Source organism: Homo sapiens, chromosome 6, assembly GCF_000001405.40.
Source record: "Homo sapiens chromosome 6, GRCh38.p14 Primary Assembly".
Classification (NCBI taxonomy): domain Eukaryota; kingdom Metazoa; phylum Chordata; class Mammalia; order Primates; family Hominidae; genus Homo; species Homo sapiens.
Window position 1 is genome coordinate 8552657 of NC_000006.12, and position 23911 is coordinate 8576567.

At 37.6% G+C, this 23911-nt stretch overlaps 1 long non-coding RNA gene across 2 annotated transcripts in view, besides 2 other annotated features; it reads left to right on the forward strand.

Annotated features, from left to right (window-relative positions):
- The window catches only part of LOC100506207 (uncharacterized), a 349823-nt gene that overhangs the window by 117034 nt on the left and 208878 nt on the right, over window positions 1–23911 (forward strand). For both annotated transcript variants that reach the window (NR_038980.1, NR_038979.1), the window contains exon 3: window positions 5929–5987. This is a non-coding gene — a long non-coding RNA (uncharacterized LOC100506207). The remainder of the gene's footprint in view (window positions 1–5928; window positions 5988–23911) is intronic.
- Window positions 3259–3428: an enhancer, noted in NCBI's record as "experimental_96383 CRE fragment used in MPRA reporter constructs". NCBI's record gives its function as "activates a minimal promoter by MPRAs in K562 erythroleukemia cells, with activity observed for both the introgressed and non-introgressed 6:8556233 variant alleles {active_cell/tissue: K562}" and the evidence as "EXISTENCE:reporter gene assay evidence [ECO:0000049][PMID:34662402]".
- Window positions 19473–19642: an enhancer, noted in NCBI's record as "experimental_96450 CRE fragment used in MPRA reporter constructs". NCBI's record gives its function as "activates a minimal promoter by MPRAs in K562 erythroleukemia cells, with activity observed for the introgressed 6:8572447 variant allele {active_cell/tissue: K562}" and the evidence as "EXISTENCE:reporter gene assay evidence [ECO:0000049][PMID:34662402]".

The following is a 23911-nucleotide window of genomic DNA, read 5'->3' on the forward strand; positions in this document are numbered from 1 at the left end:
TATTGAAAAATTATTTTTTCTATGCTAAGCAAATTAAATGGAGCAAATAGTTATATAATTTTCCCATTTCTTCAACTTTTTGGTTTTCTTGTTTGCTTTCTCTTTCCTCTCCCTTGCATATTTACAATCAAATATTTATCAACTTTTGTTGAACTTTCTTCTTCTATTTTATTTCATGTTTTTCTTATTTAGGATCCAACGACTTCAAATATGGAATATGATAATCCTTTTTCAACTGATCTATCTGATACCATCTCACCTCCTTCCAGTTCATGCTAGGCATCACAGTAATTAACATATTTTTAAAATACTGCTTTTATTTTATGTCACCTCCCTGACCAAAATTCCTGTATTCGTTTTCTACGACCTGAAAGGTGGAGTAGCCCAAATGCATCTCCCACTAGTGCTCTCCAAGATTCTTCTGACCCAAATATTGTTCATCAAAAGCTCGCTGGTAAAATTACATTATTTTTGGCCCCATTCCCCAAGGTGAATTACTTCTACATCTCTCTTTTCAGTTCATCATGCCCAGTTCAAAATTTACCCCTTTCCTCAATAAACTAAGAGTGCTGTGTAGATCCTGCATCTTGGTTGACTCCTTTTGTGATTAATCTTTTTCACAGGACCCTCTTCCATTATTTTTAAAGTTGAATAAAAAACTCCTGTGGCACATACAATCTATCTTGTATTGTTACTTAAACTTCTTCATATATTTGGTTGTTTCAACTAAAAGATAACCTCTTTGAAGACAGAGACTCTAGTTCTAGTCAAGAATGGTGTTTTTCCACATTGTAGTACTTATTTATGACATTCATGACATCAGTGGTGATAAACATCTCTACATGACTACAGTCTTAAGAAAAATTAAACCATTGGTAAAGAAATTAGGAAGCCCTACTCTGTACTCTGTTTCTTAGGCACCCCTTAAAGGTCTTGTGCTTTAGGAAAAAAAAAGGAGGAGGGTGAGAAGGGGCATCTACTTTGTATACTCTAGATGGCTAAATTGTCAGCATTTCTTGGGGAAGTCCAAACTGTTTAACTGTTGTCATCCATCCTCATTTCTTCAGTGGCATTTCAGAAGTTAATAACAAAAACTACCACTAACACCCCATGGTCTCAATGTGCCAGGCTTTATACCTCGTGTTTTGCATGCATTATCTCATTTAGTATTCATGCTCTGCCTGTAAGACAGACATTATTGTCCTTTTGCTGAGGAGGAACTGGAAACTTTTAGACCGATATCACCCAGTAAGTCCACAGTAAGGCTAAGATTTTTAACTCAGTTTGGAGCTGGGTTAAACACTTTTATACCTTCCTCAGATTTCCTCAAATTTCTGTTATCAAGTGGATTCCTAAATAACCCAACGTAGAATCCAAGAATTTCTAAAAAGCTGTGTGAGGGAGTATAATGTGGATGATAAGCAGAAAGAGAAGGATGAAAGAATTGTTTTCCTTTTAAGAGGAAGCATCATTCCTTGATTACAGAAGGTGCTAGGAGGTAGATGAAAAAGCAAGGTAAGTATTTGTTCTGACCCAGTGAAAGATTGAAAGGTAACAGGGCTTTTATGGGTAGACATGACATTTGCTGGTTCTTGATCTCCTAGTTCCAAAAAGAAATAGTTATTAGTTTCCTGCTCCTAGCCACAAGATTATTGATTTCTATGAAAGATATGAGAAGACCCTGGGAATGGAATGCAGGAGATTAGAAATGGAACCATATGAAAGGATGAGCCATTTTGGAAAACTGATAAAACCAAAAGATTTTTATTATCCTGCTTCTTCTTATTCTGTTACTATGAACTTTTTTCCCCCCTGTAAAGGAATCTATCTTCCCAAGTGGGAAAAAATAATTTTTAAAAAGATAAGCCTGAAAAAATTAATTTAAACTTAGCCATGTTAGGGTAGCATTAAGGCACTCCCGGGTACATTTTATTGGTCCATTAATATAGGGCCCGAGTGGTTGAATACACCTAAGGCATGTACTGTATTAATGAACCAATAAAACATGCCCTGGAGTGTCTTAATGATATATTACAACCATTTCTATTACATACATAAATGCACTATTTGCTGGCTGTCTTGCATAGTTTTAAAGAAAATCTTCAATTAACCAAAAATATTGCATCAAGAACTCTTACCCACAATAAAAGAGAGCAACAAAGAATCCTGTAATTAACTTACTGGGCTAGTTACTCATGAGGTGATTCTGGATTGATTTAATCTTTGGTGCTTTTTCACTGTAAATACTTTGGAAGAACTGGTTATTTGGATTTAAAATTGGATACTTTCAGGAAAAGAAACAGATGAAAGCTGACAGAATTCATACTGATCTCCTTCCTTACTTACAATATCCAACTGTGGTTGGTGATTATAACATTAAATAGGTATTAATGACTGGATTCAAATAGTAACTCTCTATGCCTACATTAGAATGATATATTTTAGGCATGTGGGGACATTTTCTACAGTGGTAAGGAATGCCACACACTCATGTATGCAAGGGTTGAGACCAACACTTGGGATCTTGTAAAAATGTCTTCTCCTAACCAACATTGTGTTCCACTTTTATTAATAAACTCAGGGTTGACCCTGCTGTCTTTTGACTGGAGTCATATAAATTGATGCATTGCTATGAGTAGGAGAAGCTGGAGGACCGCATGGAGAGAGGAGAGATAATGATGACAATAGATATCATTTATTGAATGATTATTATACATCATACAATGCTCTAATTATTTTTACATTTATTATCTCCTTTAATCTTTGCAACAACCCTATGAGGGAGATACTATTATACTTGTTTTGTAGATGAGGTATCCAAGGTAAAAGTAGAAACTTTTCCAAAGTGGTGGACTTTGGGATTGAATGCACTCTCTGAATCCAAAGCCTATACTCAAGTGGGTAAAGCTTGGGATGACCAGTATGAGAAAAGCAGAGAGAACCATTAGGTTTATCCTCTAAATAGGGAAGAAGTCCTTTCTAAACTCTATCTACCAACATATTGCATTGTATATTTTATTCTTCCCCTCCACCTCCTCCTTACAGAGGCACATAAATAGAGGAGAGACAGAGATAGTGGACATGAAGGGTCCTCATAGCAGAGTCTTAAAAGATGCAAAGTGACTTCCATGAAGCAATGATCTAAGACCCAATGAGAGTGGGCACATGGCGATATGGTTAGATACCAACGGCCAGAAACAGGAAAAATTTGAATGCCTTATCATCTGATCATGGGGAGAGAAGATGACATCCTCCCATTCTCACTGAGGATGGCACCTCAGTGGCACCACATAGACTCCTTGAAACTAAGGTGACAGCCCTTGGATAATGAGTGAGTAGAGAATATCGTCAAGCTAGTCACAGACTGAGGAAATACTGCACTGACTGATTAACCCTAAATTTGACTACTGAATAGAATGGAGGCTCAAGACAGAAATGAATTGTAAAAAAAGATAAAGTAAAAATTATTTGTACACACGTTTGAAACCTGAGATTTATGTCCTGAGTTGTTTTATTCATAAACTGTTTAATTGTTACAGATTTGCATCCTAAGAGAACCTGACCATGAAATGTTTACAAAGGCTATTGAAGTGACAGCAGTTATTGTTGGTTTTAGGGTCATAAGTTAGGTGTCAAATCATAAAAAACTGGCCTTTTTGAGGAATTGCATTTTATTTTGATTTTTTCTTCAAGATCTATAACATAGTAGGAAATTCATTATTTTGTAAACTTATTCTGTACCAATTTCTCCAGCTGAATTTTACAAGCCTAGAAAACAGTTGCTGAAAGGTCTTTGATGCCTCCACTTGATTTTTACTCATGTTTTATATTTGCCGTGCACATTTTGTAGTCAATGATACAATTCATTTTGGCTTTATTTACTGAAGGGCTTGGCCCTGATGTTGAAAGTCATACTGCAATATTGTTTACTCAACCTTTAGAAGGCAGGAAAGTTGTTAAACATAAGCCCTAGTGCATTTTTAAAATTCTGATAAAACACAATTTTACCACAATATCTTTAAAAATCTCACATACACTATTTACAAATAACTTTCCCTTCTTTATTTCAGTTATTTTTTAAGACCATTAGGTTGGTGTTGTTTATGGCAAAGTGGTAATTTAATACCAGATAGTAAATTCATTATGTGATTTCAGTGGGCAGACAATTACATCATGCAATTTCTCTGTGTCTCTTAAGTGACTCATCTGCTGGCTTATGTTCAATGTAGGAACCAGGTCATCAGCTCTTCTGTAAAGCTGACCAAGCAAGTCATCACAATGTGATGTAAATAAATATATATAAATAAACCAGCACCAACATGTGAGGGGTACTAGTGATGGCTGGACATTTGCAGTGAGTAATTTAGTGGACATATGATTCTACTGCTCTTAAAAAAAAATTAATGCTGCTTTTGCTGGTGAAGGCATCTTTGCTGACTATAATAACAGCAACCTAAATGTGTATAGTGCTTTAACAATTTTTGAAGCACTTTCGCAGGTGATATTATCATGTGGAATATTTCCCCACAATCTTGTGACACAATTGTGAATCATATTGTCCTCATTTTCAGATAAGGAATTGTTACCCAGAGAATTTAAGTGTTTCTCTTGAAGCAATTGCTAAATGGCACAGTGCATTAGAACCAGGTCTTCTTGGAATCATGTTCTTCTTCTTTTCCCCATAAGACTTGAACATCAACAGGTCAGGACACTAAAGCTAAACAAAACTGAATGTTATTAAACTGACAATATTCTACTCTTTCTAGCTGATTACAGTTTCATATGACTCGACCTAATAGTAAAATAGAGGCTTTGGGTATCCTTGGTCAGAAAATCTGAGAATTTAGTTGAAGTAAATGAAGGAAGACCAAACAGGCAGGGACTATGGCCATGGATCCAGAGTCCAAGCTGGATGTACATGGATACTGACAGGAAAACAGAGAAAGTGAGAGCTGTTTAAAATGTGAACCACATCTATGTTTTGGGAATAGATATTTGCTTTTAATTTTGCATAGCACCATGGGATAAGCTTGAAATGCTTCTGAGTGAATGACTTCTATAGATTAGAGATTTAACTGAATCTAAAAGCAAAATAGATCTATGATTTGGAGATCAGATGAGATTTTTAGCCTGATTTATTTAGAAAATTTTGTATGTTTGGGACTCTTATCTAGTAGATTTTGACTGTACCTTCATTAAATAAAATAGTGTAATATAGGTGTCGATTCACATCAACAAAAGTAGGAGGCTGTCATGAGACACAAGGAAAAACATGGTTGTCATGTCAAAAGGCTTCAGTTTAACACCAAATTCTCCTGCATGATTTGGACAAGTAATTGAACCCCATGCAGATTAATTTTCTTAATTAAAAAACAGTGATAACAATACCTACCTCATAGAGATGTTGTGAGGATTAACCTATGGATTACTGGAGTTAGTAACCCTGGATGGATTTTAGGACATCAATGAACCCTCCAACATTGCATGCATGAAATTCTGGTGAGAATGTTCATTATTGTCATCAGATCCTTAAAAGTCTCCACAAATTGCAAAAGGCTAAGAACTACCAACGTATATGAAAAGGATTTGAAATTGTGAAATGCTACACAAATGTTAGAAATCAAGGATAAAGAAGCACTATCCAGGAAAGGAAAACAAAACAGTAATTTTTAGGGAGATAGAATGTTTATCTGTCTCCAACAAACTTGGATTGGACTTCTAGGAGATAATTTGATAAGTCAAACGTACATAAAACATAAATTACCTCTAATGGCAAAATCACTTTTATTTGTAGTAATTTTAAATATAGGCTTGTTAAACTGTGCTTTTGAACATACTTCATAGATGATAATCTGTAATTTACTAGTTTCTCTCTCTTTTTCAAATTTTATTGTATGTATTTGAGATCCTTTTATGATTTTTTTTAAGGTGATGTCATTGAACTCTTAAGTGCAAGATGAAACAAGTCTTTCTGGGGTTCTAAGTAGGTAAGTGATCTGTCCATTTCTTAACTAGCTAAATGAATTGCTTTATTAAGATACTGAAGGTATGTCAGGCCTATCAAGATCCAGTATCTGGAATCACTAATCAACTCTCTATGAACATTATTTTTTTGAAGACTTTTCTTTCGGCACACTAAACAAAAATAAACTCAACCTGGGGGAAGATGCTTGGAGCTAATGTGAGGAGGAAGGAATGATATCAAAGACCTTGCTTTCTCAAAGTTCCCTAAGATGCGAAAGAATCAGTACTGCAGTTTTAAAATAGGCTGGGGTTGGACAGAGGAGCAACAAATTGTAATTTAGGAGTGCCATTGCTTTCTCAGACATAACGGCATTATTGTCTGGGGGAAAGAGTTCTATTGTATAAATACTGTTGAGAGGATAGTGGAATTTAGATCTCCAGCCTCTTCCTTGATTTTGGCAAGGTTGAATGTAGAGGAAACCACAGTCGTTCAGGAAGAACGTTATGTGAACAATGTCATGTTTTATTGGTGGAATGAGTAAACCAGGCAGTACAGGCTGTAAAAACGTATCAGTTGGTGTTATGGCAGGAAACAGATGGCTCATTCCAATAGAGTAATTCAAAGAATATCCAATAAAGGGGCTACTTACAAAGGTGTAGATGGGAAACAGGTGAGCCATGAGATAGAGTGTATCCAAGGCTAGTAACACAGGGTCTATTTCTAACCCTATGCTTGAAGGGGTGAATTACCGGGAAAGAGAGGCTCCTAAGGAGGGGCCACCTTGAGAAGAGCCACAGTCGTCGCGGAGGGAAATGGGAACTTGTGAGCTAAGGGAATATAAATACTCCTTCCTTATTCACCTCCTTCCCTCTGATATTCTGCCAGATCTCTCTAATAATATAATCCAATCTGGAGCCAGTGGGCAAGAAATCTAATGGACTGACTCTTTAGACTGGCCTCCTGCAGCTGACTAGGGTGAAAAGTGTGATCTGGAGGAACAAACAACTCCCCACATTAAGTGGTTTACAGTCCCAAAGGCCTACTTCTCACTCATGCTGAATTTCCGGCATGGATCAGTAGGGAGTGTTTCCATGTGTCCTCACTCTAGAACTTCAGAAATGGAGCAGACATTTCTTCAGAATATAACCAATTGTTTTGATAGAGGGAAATAGAATTTGGGATAGTCTCAAGCCAGCAATTATGTATTTTGGTCTTAAATAATTTATGTCATTTGTACTTACCCAGAACTAGTTCAGGGCCCTGTGCAAGCTTCAGGGAGCCAGAAAGTTGAACTCTACCAGGTGCCTGAACGAGAAGGGGATGTGATAAAACTGAGCAGTGTGAATAACCACCACGGGTAACTTTTCTGTTCAAAGCATGCTGGTCCCTAAATTAAATTGAAGCTGGGATATGGGTTGGCAGAATAATTCAGGCAGAATTTAGTTTACAGACAACTTCTGAACAACTTGCATGATATTCAACAGAGCCTATATGTAGATTATACAAAAACTTTTTTTCTTTTTTTTTTTTTTTTTTTGAGACAGAGTCTTACTCTGTCACTCAGGCTGGAGTGCAGTGGCATGATCTCAGCTCACTGCAATCTCTGCCTCCTGGGTTCAAGCAATTCTGGTGCCTCCCAAGTAGCTGGGATTACAGGTGCCTGCCACCATGCTGGCTAATTTTTGTATTTTTAGTAGAGACGGTTTTGCCATGTTGGCCAGGCTGGTCTTGAACTCCCGACATCAGGTGATCCATCCACCTTGGCCTCCCAAAGTGCTAGGATTACAGGTGTGAGCCACCGTGCCCGGCTTATATCAGAACTTTAAAAAAGCCAAATCCATACAGTTGACTGGAATGGAACCATACAATAATTTTTTGAACATTGTTAGGATCAAAATATTAATACTTACATTAAAAAAAAGCCTTTTTTTAAGTACATGGTATGGTACTAAGCCTTTAGTCAAGGAAATTTAAACAAAATTATCCCTGCCCTGTAGGAGTTTATAATCTAAAACAGACAGTATTGATGTAAATACATGCAATTGGTTCTCTGTTATTCGCAGGAACATTATCTGCTCTTAAATTGATCTATGGCAATTTTTAGAATGATTAAATTATATATTACTCAGTATACAACTTAACTATATTCTTCTTCCTCCAGTTGTATTACTATTTGTAAATGGACTATAAAGAAAATTAAGAATATCTAGCACCTTTGGAAATGCATGTAATTTATGCACAAGTGGGATAATGTCACATACTATAGGTGCAAATTTAGAACTGATTGCACTATAGGGAGATGACAGCCTCATCTATGCTTAGAAAAAAGTTGTTTTAAGTTGTTTTAGAAGCTGAATATTGGGTTTTATTCTGGATATAAAGCATGCCATTAGTTTGCTAATATCTTAATAGTGAGAAAACTTTCATCTAAATACTGAAAGGTAAAAAGTGTTGGGAATAAATCCTAAATATTAACTGATAATGTTTCCTGAATACCCTGAGGAATGCTGATGGGACAGAGTTTCAGATATTTTAAGCTCAGCAGCTTATACCTATGAGTGCTTTCTCTGACAAATTGCATGGTGGATAGAGCACATGCTGCCCACATCACGGGTGTCCTTACCATTTTCGTACAATCCGGTTTGACTTCCAATTGCTGATGACTGTGTCTCTGGCCAGTGGGGCCTGCAGCAGTCTGGGAGTACTGGAGGAAAGAGTGCCATCAAAGAGCAGCCCTCAATTACAGACCCAGAAGATTAGGTCTGTGGGTCTCAGTGGATGAACCAACACGGAGGAGCACCACGTTGAGCGTCCATCTTACAGTTTCCCAGGGCACAAAGTTATAGTCATCTGAGGGGCAACTTGCTTGACAAAGTAGCTTTTCCCGACTTCCTTCCCATCTTTACCTCACTCCCCGACTTTCTAACCAGTGTTTCTTGGGATCAATTTCCAAATACGTGCATTCAAATCTTTGTCTTTGGGTATGATGTTGAGGAAGTAAAACTAACACAGGGGGCTATTTCCCTAGCTACAGGCCTCCTTATTCTTGTACTATATTATGGGACCTGAAAAAATACATAATTCAGAGGTAGTGGCAGCACGAAGTTCCTTGCGTAAGTACTTTTTGTAGATAAAGATGAAATAGGTGTAGACAAGCAAGGTTGCCTAGAGCAGTTTAATGGAGACTTTGATTACAAAGTCTTATATTAAAATGACATGAAAATACTGTAGAATCTTGTCTCAGAAATTCCTGATATTAGACATAACTTAAAGCATTAAAAAGTCAAACTGTTGAGTGTCTGTTGGAAGTAAGCTAAAGAAAAAATATATTTAAGAGTTATCCATAATATTTGCATGTGTGTACATATGTGTGTGTATATATATATGTAATATTTTTGCAAAATATTTCACACTTTACTATAACCTGTTAATATGCAAGGTTACCAATTATTTATTAGATTACTAGATTAGTTGCAAATTTTCTGCCTCCTCTACTCCAGCCACATGGGTGGTGGCACCAGGACTGGATAACTGGAATAAATACCTTAGGCAGAAAACAGAAAATTGCAATGTATGCAGTAGTCACTGGTCCATGGTAATGATGAAATCCTGTGGACAGCTGTTATGTAGTCTTGTCAGTGAGAGAAGTGCCATGGTCAGAACTTGATTCTGTTCTCAGGGAGGAATTTTCCCGTCCATTGTTCTGTGGGGCCCCTGCTTCTGCCATCTGGGAAGCTTTGCTTGTCTATTATCTGCCGTGGCTGCAATGGCAGTTGAGGGCTCTAGAGGTTTTGCTGCCTGCCTCCTGCCTGTATGAGTTGGGTGGCCTAAGAGTTGCTTCAAGGCTCAGCCAAAAGCTTTTACGTCCTAGCTCATGGTTGTTTTTGTAATATAATTTTCTTTAAAATTAATAAGACTGTCGTCTCTTCTAGGCACAGGAAGACAAATGTTGCATGTTCTCACTTATATGTAGGAGCTAAAACAAAGTGATCTCGTGGAGGTAGTGAATAGAATGGTGGCTGCCAGAGGCTAGGAAGGGTAGTGGGGGTAAGGGGATAAAGTTACAAAATACAGTTAGATAGAAGGAATAACATCTAGTGTTTGGTAGCACAATAGGGCTACTATAGTTAAAAATAATTTATGACACATTTCAAAATAACTAGAAGAATAAATGTGGGATGTTTTCAGCACAAAGAAATGACAAATGTTTGTAGTAATTGGTGATGAATACCCTCAATTACCATTATGCATTGATCATTATATGTTGTATGCTTGTATCAAAATATCACATGTACCCCATAAATATGTAACTATTATGTATCCATAAAAATTAAAAAATTAGAAAGCAACTAATAGACTTACATCTCTTTGCTTACAATCAGTTGAATATGCCAGCTACCGCACCCACAGTTCTTTCTTAGACATAATTCTTAAAGTAGTACTATCTGTTTTTCTTCTCATCACCATTTATTTTTTTTTCAACTCAATGACATCTACCCCAAGGCCATAGGCTTGGGTTGAAGGCCTGGTTCAATTGGAATTTTGTCACATAATTATATCTTAAGACTGTTCATTATTTAATCTCAAAAATTACGTATTAATGTTTGAGGTAAGCATTCCCAACTTTTGAGGCTTAAAATTTCTGGATGCTTTCTTATTCCCTTTCATTTTTATGTGTACTTTGGATAATTCTTTCTTGTGGTCATTTCTCCTTCTAATATCTTGCCAAATAAAGCTAGTAACATCTAATGCATGCTCACATAATTCTATTTTACAATATCTTTTGCTACAGACACAGGCTAGGGAAGTTAGTGGCCTGCCTCCAAAGGTATCGTGGGCTTCATTGTTACTGAACATTTTGCCTCTGCTTAACTTGGGGTTTCATTTTTCCAGCCTCTGATATTAGTTTCCTAGTTATCTCCTGCCAGTGCCACCAATTTTAGGGTTTTGTTTTTGTTAGTGTCCATTCTTGGTACTAATTTCTATTTTAGTTATGATAACACCAATTAAAGCATCAGATAAACCTCCAAGTTTAAGTGGCTTAACATGTTAAGATGTTTGTTTCTTGCTCATGTAAAACTCCATAGAGGGTCTGGGGTTCTATTCTATGCATCCATTTAGCCATCCAAATTGGCAAAACTGTTGTATCCAATAGACAGTTTTTAAGGCACCAACATCCAGCCAGCAGATAGAACCCTTAGCTTCTTCTGACCTTCCTCTCCACCTATGCTGACATCTTAGGTGTCCTCTGGCTTTCAATATCATCTCCTTGCTGAAAAATCCCGAATCTTCTTTTATCGAACTCCACCTAGCCCCTGGATTTGTGTATGTAATTGCTTATACAACAACTCCACTTGGATGTCAATCAGGCATCATTAACTTAATATATTTGAAACCAAATGTTAACTTTTTCCCCCTAAAATTGCCACCCCTTAACGTGATCAATATTAATATTTGGGACTGTGATTTACCAGTTATTCAGCGTAGAAACCTGAAAGTATTTTTTGAATCTTTTTTTTTTAGTATCATATAGTACATAGAATCAAAAAACAAATCCTATCAGTGATACCTTCAAGAACATCTAGAATCCAGTCACTTCTCATAGCTCCATAGCCATCAGATTTTACTTGTTGTAGTGTAGTCATGATCTAACAGGTCTTCTTGTTTTCACTCCTGCCCTCTTAGAATGCATTTACCACACATGAGCCACAGCAATATTCTACAAAATAAAGAGACTACATTGCCCTTCTATGTATAAAACTGCAAAAACCAAAGGTTTCCCTGATCATTTATTTAAAGTACTTCATAGCATTTGTCATTATCTGACATTTCAGCCATTATGTTATACATTTTTTGTTTAATTTTCTGTCTTCTCAATGAAGAATGAATATCTATGTCATAGACTTTTCTTTATTCATGGCTGTCTTTATAACACCTAGGATGGTGCTTGCCACATGGGAGATGTTCTAGTAGTTTTGAATGAATAAATAAATGAATGAGCTACTTTTTATATCTTTTTGATGCTTTAGTCTTTTTATATCTATTTGTATGACTTTTTAATATTAACCAGATGTAATCATTATCTCATTAGTATTAAATGAAATCCTAAATTTTCCCTTTAGTTTACATGTCCATCTATCCAGCTAGCTAGCTAGCAATATAATAATAAGTAATTTCTTCTTCACAATATTTTCCATTATTCTTCACCTTAGAAATCCCTCCGCTCTCATGAGCCTGGCTATATTCTCATATATTCACCTAATGTCTTCTAATTCTTAGTCTAATTTTAGAGGAGCATGGTGACCAGTCTTCATCCAGATCTATTCTAGGATTCACAGTAAATTCTCCAGATCACAGAACTTACCTTCAGCAATACTCTTGCCTGAAGGTTTCTAAAAAGGCTTGCACTATGAATGCTTGTTACTGGAAGTAGGCAGGCCAGATCTCTTTCTCCCAGGGATCTCCAAAGAGGTACCAGGGGTGCTGCCTAGTGGCCCAATTCCTTCCTTCTTTGCCTGACTTCCTAACTGAAGGGAAGGAGACTCTTTCTAGAGCTGTCAGTATACTTTTCTTTCATTCAGCAGCTGCCAGACATAGTAGGAAACATATGATGTCTAAGTCATGTTCCTGGATTTTATGGAGTAAATTGAACGCTGTATTTTTAAGGAAAGTCTAGGAAAAAAATTTCCTTTTTTGAAATTCCACCAGATTCATCGATATTGTAAAGCCAGTGGTCCTGGTAGGGGTGTGTGTGTGTGTGTGTGTGTGTGTGGCTCTGCTTGTAGTTTTGCAGATTGAACGGTTTTGGAGAAACCATTTATCTCACAGTCATCAAATATTTATATAGTTATTGCAAAAGTTTCTAGCACATGACAATAAAGTGTCTTGTCTTTTGTCTTATGCTTGACCTACATGAAGTCACCATATGGGCTAGCCATTGGGGTTCTGTTGAGTTGGGTGTGGGGAAGGAGGGGAGAAAGAAAGCGGGAGTGATAGGCAGGTGGAGATTGAGGAGGGCAAGAGAGATTTGCCTTTCTGGGGATTTGAGGTTGTCCTGGATATGCAAGAGGATGGAGAAGTCAGACTTAAGGTATCTTGTGGAATTGTGGTAGAAAGGAGAGGAGGTCAAGCCTTGATTAAATTGAAACAGCAGAAACCAAAGCTTTTTTTGTAAGATTTTACTCTACTTAACTTTCGTAGTATTTCAAGTCTTTTTCTAAAGTGTGACAGAAAAATCACATTTTCTAAAATGTGATAGATCACTTTTTTTCACACTCCAGTATATTGTAAAAACACTGCTCTAATTTTTACTTTCAGAGAAATATTGTTAAACTCTTGCACCATAAAATTCAGAATCCCAGAGACTTATCAGTTTGAATAAGCCATGGGTTACTGAGGATAGGTGGTGTCTTGGGGAACTATGTAAGCCAGCCACAGAGCCTTGATTTAGGGGCTAAATCTTGGAGCAAACGAAAGGTGGACAGGCACAAATAGACTCAACATTACTTTTTACACTAAATTGCTTTCTTTTGGAAGGAAAAAAAGGCCATAATAAATATCCATTTCCAGGATTGTATCCAGCAACAGCAAGGACAAATTCCTGTAAGATTTGAGAGAAGTCCTATTCTTTTTTCATTTTTTTAATGAATTACTATCATAGTTCCTTTCTTACCTGTATATATTGACTCCAGAATGTTCCTATGATTCTTAAATTCCAAGCTGCTTTTTCTAAAATGTTGTTTTGTGTCTTAAATAAGAAAAAAATTCTAGGAATTAAGAATGTGATATTTCATCTTTGTCTAGAGACTACAAGGTTCAAATAAATTCAACTTTCCCTTTTTCCTTTCTCCTATATTTAAATATTTTAGCAATATTAATTTAGAAATGTCTAAATTTTTCTTTTTTTCCTTTTTTTTTTTTACTTCTCTTTCCCATGTTCTTTTTTTTTTTTTTATTATACTTTAAGTTTTAGGGTACATGTGCACATTGTGCAGGTTAGTTACATATGTATACATGTGCCATGCTGGTGCGCTGCACCCACTAACTCGTCGTCTAGCCTTAGGTATATCTCCCAATGCTATCCCTCCCCGCTCCCCCCACCCCACCACAGTCCCCAGAGTGTGATATTCCCCTTCATGTGTCCATGTGATCTCATTGTTCAATTCCCACCTATGAGTGAGAATATGCGGTGTTTGGTTTTTTGTTCTTGCGATAGTTTACTGAGAATGATGATTTCCAATTTCATCCATGTCCCTACAAAGGACATGAACTCATCATTTTTTATGGCTGCATAGTATTCCATGGTGTATATGTGCCACATTTTCTTAATCCAGTCTATCATTGTTGGACATTTGGGTTGGTTCCAAGTCTTTGCTATTGTGAATAATGCCACAATAAACATATGTGTGCATGTGTCTTTATAGCAGCATGATTTATAGTCATTTGGGTATATACCCAGTAATGGGATGGCTGGGTCAAATGGTATTTCTAGTTCTAGATCCCTGAGGAGTCGCCACACTGACTTCCACAATGGTTGAACTAGTTTACAGTCCCACCAACAGTGTAAAAGTGTTCCTATTTCTCCACATCCTCTCCAGCACCTGTTGTTTCCTGACTTTTTAATGATTGCCATTCTAACTGGTGTGAGATGATATCTCATAGTGGTTTTGATTTGCATTTCTCTGATGGCCAGTGATGATGAGCATTTTTTCATGTGTTTTTTGGCTGCATAAATGTCTTCTTTTGAGAAGTATCTGTTCATGTCCTTCGCCCACTTTTTGATGGGGTTGTTTGTTTTTTCTTGTAAATTTGTTTGAGTTCATTGTAGATTCTGGATATTAGCCCTTTGTCAGATGAGTAGGTTGCGAAAATTTTCTCCCATGTTGTAGGTTGCCTGTTCACTCTGATGGTAGTTTCTTTTGCTGTGCAGAAGCTCTTTAGTTTAATTAGATCCCATTTGTCAATTTTGGCTTTTGTTGCCATTGCTTTTGGTGTTTTGGACATGAAGTCCTTGCCCATGCCTATGTCCTGAATGGTAATGCCTAGGTTTTCTTCTAGGGTTTTTATGGTTTTAGGTCTAACGTTTAAATCTTTAATCCACCTTGAATTGATTTTTGTATAAGATGTAATGAAGGGATCCAGTTTCAGCTTTCTACATATGGCTAGCCAGTTTTCCCAGCACCATTTATTAAATAGGGAATCCTTTCCCCATTGCTTGTTTTTCTCAGGTTTGTCAAAGATCAGATAGTTGTAGGTATGCGGCGTTATTTCTGAGGGCTCTGTTCTGTTCCATTGATCTATATCTCTGTTTTGGTACCAGTACCATGCTGTTTTGGTTACTGTAGCCTTGTAGTATAGTTTGAAGTCAGGTAGTGTGATGCCTCCAGCTTTGTTCTTTTGGCTTAGGATTGACTTGGCGATGCGGGCTCTTTTTTGGTTCCATATGAACTTTAAAGTAGTTTTTTCCAATTCTGTGAAGAAAGTCATTGGTAGCTTGATGGGGATGGCATTGAATCTGTAAATTACCTTGGGCAGTATGGCCATTTTCACTGTAATTTATTTACATCCAATTTAGGGATTGATAGTAATACAGTAAAAATTTATTCTCACATTCACTCTACTATATTACTGATTATTCAAATAATTTCTAAGCTATGTCAATCATTGGCCTGGTGCAGGCTCTATAAAGATGACATAACATACATCTGTCTTTGAGGACCTTGTAGTCTTCCTGGTGAGACAGATTATCATGCATAAAACTTTCAATGATACTAGCTTTTTTTTTTTTTTTTTGAGACAAAATCTCACTCTTTCGCCCAGGCTGGAGTGCAGTGGCGTGATCTCGGCTCACTGCAACCTCTGCCTCCTGGGTTCAAGTGATTCTTGTGCCTCAGCCTCCTGAGTAGCTGGGATTACAGGCGTGTGCCACCACGCCTGGCTAATTTTTGTATTTTAGTTAGAGACGGGGTTTCACCATGTTGGCCAGGCAGGTCTCAAACTCCTGACCTCAGGTGATCCACCCAGCTCGGCCTCCCAAAGTGCTGAGATTACAGGCATGAACCACCACACCTGGCTGATACTAGCTTTTACAGAGTTACAAAGAAAATGGGATTGAGCACAAAGATAGGCTAACTATATGAGGAGTTCATGAAAGTCTCCTCAGAAGAGGTGACATTGGAACTGAGTCTTAAAAGATGAGTAGGCAGCTTCAGTTGATGAAGGTGAGAAAGAATATCCCAGGAGGGACAGCATGCTTCTTATTATGGCAAGTCTTTATTTATTTATTTTTTAAATTTAAAAAATATTTAAGTTTTATTTTAGGTTCAAGAGTACATGTGCAGATTCGTTATACAGGTAAATAGTGTGTCGTGGGGGTTTGGTGTACAGATTATTTTGTCACCCAGGTAATAAGCATAGTACCCAATAGGTAGCTTTTCGGTCCTCATTGTCCTTCCTCCCTCTACCCTCAAGTAGGCCCAGGTCTCTGTTGTTCCCTTCTTTGTGTCCATGTGTATTCAATGTTTAGCTACCACTTATAAGTTAGAACATGCGGTATTTGGCTTACTGTTCCTGTGTTCATTCGCTTAGAATAGTGGCCTCCATCTCCATTCATGTTGCAGCAAAGAACTTGATCTCATTCTTTTTCATAGCTGTGTAGTTTTCCATGGTGTACATGTACTACATTTGCTTTATCTGGCCTATCATTGGTGGGCATCTAGGTTAATTCCATATCTTTTTTTTTTTTTTTTTTTTTTGAGATGAAGTCTTGCTCTGTCATCAGGCTGGAGTGCAGTGGTGTGATCTCGGCTCACTGCAACCTCTGCCTTCTGTATTCAAGCAATTCTCCTGCCTCGGCCTCCTGAGTAGCTGGGACTATAGGCACACACCACTGCACTTGGCTAATTTTTGTATTTTTAGTAGCGACAGGGTTTCACCATGTTGGCCAGGATGGTCTCGATATATTGACCTCATGATCCGCCCCCGTCGGCCTCCCAAAGTGCTGGGATTTCAGGCCTGAGCCATTGCACCCGGCTGATTCCATATCTTTTATAGCAGATCTTGATGTGCTTAAAAATGATGAGGACTTTAGTATACTGGAATGAATTTAGAGGCATATTGGTGGCTTAATGGAAGTGGAGAGGAGTTTAGATAGAGTTACCAATGGGATAATAGGCCAGAAATAGATTGGAAGGGCCTTGAGAGCTAAAATAAGAAATTTGGGTCTAAATCTGAAAGGGATAGGAACCAAAAGGAATTTTAAAGCAAGTGGTTGACATGATCAAATTTAATAATTAGGGAAATAGCTAATGTCTTTCAATACCCTCTGACTTGGTCAGGGAGTTATGAGACAGGAAGCTATCTTAAAAAAACCCAGGCGAGATATTATAAAGTCCCAAAATATGACACAAAGGATGGGACAGAGGATTAGATTTAAGATATTTCTGCTACATATCCCAGAAAGAAATAGAATGTTTAGAATTTAAAGCATTTTAGGAGGGAGCATAAAGTGAGATAACATGTGAATTTCACACTGAGATTAAAAATTTACAACTGAACTTTAGATCTTACCAAGGGAACATATTTTAAATAGCCTTGAATTTTGGTCTGCTAAGTTATGTTTAAATGTTAGTAATGTTCAAGCAAGAAGAGTCTTTTCCTTCCAAAAAGAGTGCTAATGTACACTTTCACACCTCCTTAAATATCTACAGCATGAAACACCCTACGCAGACATATCTGGATTTCCTGGAGCTATCAGTGCCTTTTGTGTTGTGAGACAAAGGCAATCCAATAAAGACATGTCTGTTCCCCAAGTGCTCACCAAAGTCACGGCTCAGAGAGTGCGCATTACAGTTATGTCTTTTCTGGGTTTTATATTTTAAAGAATATGATAATAAAAAGGAAAAACAAGCTTCCTGGTAAACTGTATTTATAGCCTCATAGACTGTAAAGGTTTCAAAGTTTAAAGACACTTAGAGCAAATGTCTTCCTTTTTCAGCATTAGCCTTTTTCTCCAGCACCAAAAGTGTGGAAGGCAAAAGCCTGCGAAAGAGAGGAAGTAGTGTAAGACAGTGTGGGAGGTGTTCTAAGTCTGGGCTCATGATCCTCTAAAATACATGGGTCTTCAAGCCTGCAGACAAGCTACAGAAGCCCTTCCAGCACCGTGAAATTGTGGAGACAACTGTGGCAGATGCATGGATGGCCTTTTTTTTTTTTCTGGGGAAATACTTCATAGTTTTCATTAGAATCTACAGCCTTAAACCTTTGACTATATAATTGGACACGTACAACAAATGGCTATCATATAGATGAGTATATTATCAGAGCAAAAATAATGATTCAGATAAGTTCTTGCCACTTCAGAAGATACAATTAATTTGTCTCAATGGATATGAGAGTGATCTACTTAGTTATGGATATTTGCAAAGTTTGTTTAAATAGCTCCACAACTTTGGACATGCTTACCTCTCCCAGCCTTTTTTTTCCCCCATTACTATCTCCTAGGTTTGCTGTGACGTAATTTATGTAGACCAGTTTGCACAATCCTTGGAAAATGTCTTAATTATATATTTATGACAAATTTGGATATGACATTTGTTATACATCTGTATGCAGGGCAGCTTTAAATATAAAACTTAAGCTTAGTGAATTGTTAAAAATTAGTCATATTTCACTTATGATCATCTCCTCTTGGAAGCTGAAGAAAGAAGATCAAGTAATAAGGATGTTTATATTTTCTAAGTACTATTTTTAAGAAGTTAAATGTTAGTTTCTGGTGTCATGAATGAAGAATTGGAGCAAATGAGAAATTCCAGTATATGGCTTGCTTCGGAGTGAATGGCCAAAGTATTGTGATAAAGTCGCTAACCTTTGGGAGGATGTACAGCCGATAAGAGTCAGGCCCCATTTCCAATGAGCAGGCCCCATTCCTGATGACAAGAGTTTTAAGAACATACAGTAAAAAGATTGAACTCTGATCAAAGGCCACAGCTGCTACGCTCCGCATGCTGCTTGCTGGGTATGGAGTCAGCCCTGGAGCTCTAACCTGATTCTTCAGCTTTGGCAACACAAGCATTTGAAATGTGGGAGAAGGTGGGGCCTAGCATCATCAAGTCATAGTCTGAGAGGTCTTGGTCACTACCGTGACCTCCTTCACCAGCTCACCAGTCTGAGGGAGAAGCCCAGGCTGCCACAAGGCCTTGTCTTACAGGCAAATAATTAATTAAGATGGAAACTTATATGTCTACTGACCTCCAGTGATTAGGCCTCTGGTTCAGGAGCTGAGTTTTGAGGACTTACTTAAATTAGGAAGACTATGACAGTTGTCCTTCCTTTCTCCCAACCTCCGTCTTCCCCCCATTGTTCCTCTGGGTAGCTTAGAGGTCACCTGTGGAACATTTAATGGCCCTTTTATTTGATATTTTGGTACTTATATATGTCTATCTTCTCAGATAAGCTTTTCCTCTGACAGAAAAGATTTTAAAGACATTTTAGTAAAACAGAATAAAACAACCCAGGCATGAGACAAACTGATTATTAGTTGGAGATTTGGTTGGAAGATATTAGCTAGCCCTGAAGCAAAAACACAGTTTTCTTCATGCTTTTCTATAACAGTATTCATAAAGTTACATGTAAGTTGGACAGCTTATGGTTGAGCAGTGACTAAGAAGAGAAATTGGGCTGCAACAGAGAGCACAGGCATTGCTGCCAGCCAGACAGGGCTTGAGACCAAGCTACCGATTCTTAGCGATATAATGGTGAGCAATTTGCTTCACCTCTTGGAAATGTCCTCTTCGGGGAAATGGAGGTGATAATGCCTCAGCGGGTAGTTTTAAGAATTAAAGGTAAAATGTGCAAAGTGCCTGGCACCAGTGACTACCGAGTAAATTAAAAATATTTTATATTTCTTAGTGTTCATTTCTTGCTCTGCCTTAAAAAAACTGCACATCAAATACTTTATTCTTCTGCATGCAATGCATTTTTGTAAATCATCTATTGCACATAGTGTTAGGTGCTTGGAAACAAAGAGGAGTAATGCAGATCTTTGATATTCAAAGAAGTACTAGCTTAGCTGTGTTTGGGGTGCTTGTGTACATGTCCAAAGAGTGAAGCATAATAATTCCTTGTCTTTTTGAAAATTTTATCTAAACAAAATGAAATCAATGAATTAATATTTTTGGAGTGCGTAGGTGACATAGACGTTCATAGATGACTTTTACGTAGGATTAGAGGGTATAGAATTCTAAGCGGCTGAATCCTGAATTCTGACATACAACACTAGGGACTTATGGAAGCTAATCACATAAACATAGCTCCTTTATTTTTCCAATAATAGTTTAAAATTTTTCACGTTGGATTTTATCTGAAGTCAATCTGACTTGACTTCCAGGCCTTCCTCTCTTTTTTTTTTCTCCAAAACACCTGATGACTGAGTCCATCAAGTTCCCAAAATAGATTTACACATTTTTAAAAACAGATAATCAAGTTTTACTTTCATCTGTGGGTTTTTTTTTTTTTTCTCAAAGTCCAGGAAACTTTGTAACACCTGCTTTGCAAAATAAGCAAGTAATCATCTATTTTGGGGACGGAAAATAGAGGAGGTGAGAAATGAGTTAACTGGCTTCAACTCTTGTTATTTGGGCATGGAAATTATTTGTTCAGTGATTTTTGCCACAGCCATAGAACAACTTTTGCATTGCTTTGGTTTCTCCATATGCTTTGGAGAGACAGGAAAGAGAATATTGCACTAAAAATCTTGTTTCAGTTCAAGGTAATTATGCATATATTTAGGCTGAATAGGGAAGAGGCATTACTGAAATAAAAGTGTTTTTAATACAATTTGGAAGACATAAATTAACACATTGAGAGGAAAATGAATCAATAATTTTATTTTAGAACTGAAGGGGATTTTAGCGATCATCTTGTTTAACCGCCATGTTTACAGATGAATGAACTGTTATGTGTTTTGCCCACAGTAGGTCACACAAACAAAGGTGTCCTGACTTCTAGAATAGGCCTTTGTTCCTCTCTCACTGTAAATACATGACTATCCTGCAGAATGGCCTAGTAGATATTGTCATGTTGCTGTTCCTGGTTGGGAGGACTGGGTGCACGTACAAATAAAGTTTACATAATACCTGATACAGAAATCTTGGTGCCCTAAAGTAACTATTTAATGATGATGCCTTTGCTCTATTCAGACCAGCAAAATGAGCACACATTTCTGGCTCCATTTAATAAATTGCCTCCTTGAGGGCACTAAATCCTGCTCTTCAGGAAAAGCTCATTCACCTCACATGGGTAAACAGTTTGCTTCTTCATGAATTCTGCTGTTTACTCACAACAGTGGAAAGCCTGTTTTGTGTTATTGCCGTTATCACAAATCTGGAGACATCACTGCAGATTGGAATGAGGTGGCGGGAGACCGTTGCCTAAGTGGGTATTGTTCAGCACAGCTTAATAGAAAAGGTTGACCAAACATGTTAGAGTTACCATCGAATAAGTTTATTGGGGGAACCAGCCCCCAGTATTTCAACATAGGTTCTTTTCTATTTTCCCTAAGTGTCGGCCGGTCTGAGAAATAAACAGAAAGAGTACAAAAGAGAGAAATTTTACAGCTGGGTCTCCGGGGGTGACATCACATGTTGGCAGGTTCCGTGATGCCCACCTGAGCCGCAAAACCAGCAAGTTTTATTAGGGGTTTCAAAAGGGGAGGGGGTATGAATAGGGAGTGGGTCACAGAGATCACATGCTTCAAATGGAACTTATCTTTAGTAATGGAGAGCTTTTCAAATCTAGTTAATTTTGCCTTTCAAAGTCACTGTGAATGGGTGAAAAGTAAAATAGCTCATCCGTAGATCGTAAGTTAATATTGCTGAATTTTAAAAAATTTGATGAGTCAGAAAAATTTGCATTGGTATCATCTACATTCACTTTCTACCTTTAACTTCATTACTTTCCTTCACACATTGACCTGTGATTCCCCCAGAGGCAAAGTTTCAAGGTCAATTATGTGAAAGTAGTTTTAAAAGTGGCCAGTCCAGACATGGATTTGTGAAAAATAAAAATGGAGTTCAAGCAGTCAGAATTCTGTAGTATTCTTCACTCTTTTCTTTATTTTTCAAATAAAACTTTCTAAATATTGTAGCTCAAGATAGATTAATGATTCCAGTTTTTAAGTATATTTAAAGCTCAAGTTGTTGGATTTTTTAAAATTTTGACTCCTCCCTTTCTCTTTCTCTTTCTCCCTCCCTCCCTCCCTCCTTCCTTCCTTCCGTCTTCCTTCCTTCTTTCCTTCCCTCCTTCCTTTTTCCCTTCCTTCGTTCCTTTTTTCCTTTTTTCCTTCCTTCCTTCCTTCCCTTTCTCTTCCTTTCATTCTTTCTCTCTTTCTTTCTTCACAATATAGGTTAAAAAGGAATAGTAACAGATGATCATTTATACTCCTGTTGCTTCACTCTGAAGAATTCTTTGTTCTCCTTATCCATGCCTTAGCCAAAAGCTACAAATGAAAGAAAATTTCAACCCCATGTAAATTTTTTGGAACATCGTACCATATTGGTGGACGTAATACAGTTTCGAAGCATTAGGTCCTTGTTAAGAACAATTCATTAATATTTTTCTATTGGATCAGACTTACAGATAAGGTCTGCTTCTAATGATGTCATCAATAAGCGTTTCACATGGGAAATAATGGGAAATACATTGTGTTGTTGATTATATATATTCAGGGAGTTTTAGGTGAATTTAATAGTGAATTATTAGTGGAGCTGCCATTAACTATTTTAAAATATGTATGTATTCATGCAATTCTTTAATCCTTAAGGAGCATAACAGGACTGAATTATCCTTCTGTCCTAGTCTGTTTGGGCTGCTATAACAAAATACCATAGACTGGGTAGCTTATAAACAACAGGAGTCTGGGAAGTCCAAGATCAAGGCCAGCAGATTTGGTGTTTGATGAGGGCCTAGCTCACAGATGACATCTTCTACTGTGTCCACACATGGTAGAAGAAACAAGCTAGCTCTCCGTTTTTGTTTTTTTTCAATAAAGGCACTAATTTCATTCTAAAGACAGATCCCTTATTGCCTAGTCACCTCCCAAAGGCCCCACCTCCTAATACCATCACTTTGGGATTAGGATTTCAACATAGGAATTTTGGAAGGACACACACATTCAGACTATATACCACCTTCTTTTTAAATTTTTTATTATTTTACAGACAGGGTCTTGTTTTGTCACCCAGGCTGTTGTGCAGTGGCACAAACATAGTTCACTGCAGTCTTAAACTCCTGGGCTCAATACATCCTCCTGCCTCATTCTTCTGAGTAGCTGGGACTATAGGCACATGTTCCCATGCCTGGCTAATTTTTAAAGAAACATTTCTGCAGAGACAGGGTCTTGCTATGTTGCTCAGGCTGGTTTTGGATTCCTGATTTCAAGTGATCCTCCTGCCTTAGACTCCCAAAGCATTGGTGTTACAGTTGTGAGCCACTGCACCCAGCCCATAGCACTTTCTAATATTACTCTTCAGAATTTTAGAATCTTACTTATGACTGGCCTCGTCCTTGCCTTTTCAGATAGAAGAGTTATATTTTCAAAAACAACCCCAGCACACTGCAGTCTCACTATTACATAAGTAAATTCTTTGGTGTTTCCCTGGCCTCCCCCAGCTTCAGCATGGCCCCTAGTATAGGTGCGTCCCAAAAGAGTCAGGTTGTCCTCCAGGCCCAGAGAAACCAGGAATCTGTATAATGAGTGTATACTGTTTTGAATTTTGTTCCCATAACATTTCTCATTTCCTTCCTTCCTTCTTTCCTCCCTCCCTACCTCCCTCCCTCCCTCCTTCCTTCCTTCCTGTCTCCTTTCTTCCTGTCTTGCTTCCTTTTTTTTTTTTGTATTTTTGGTGGCAGTTGCAGTCCACTGGGATAGAGAAATAGGAAGAAAAGCGT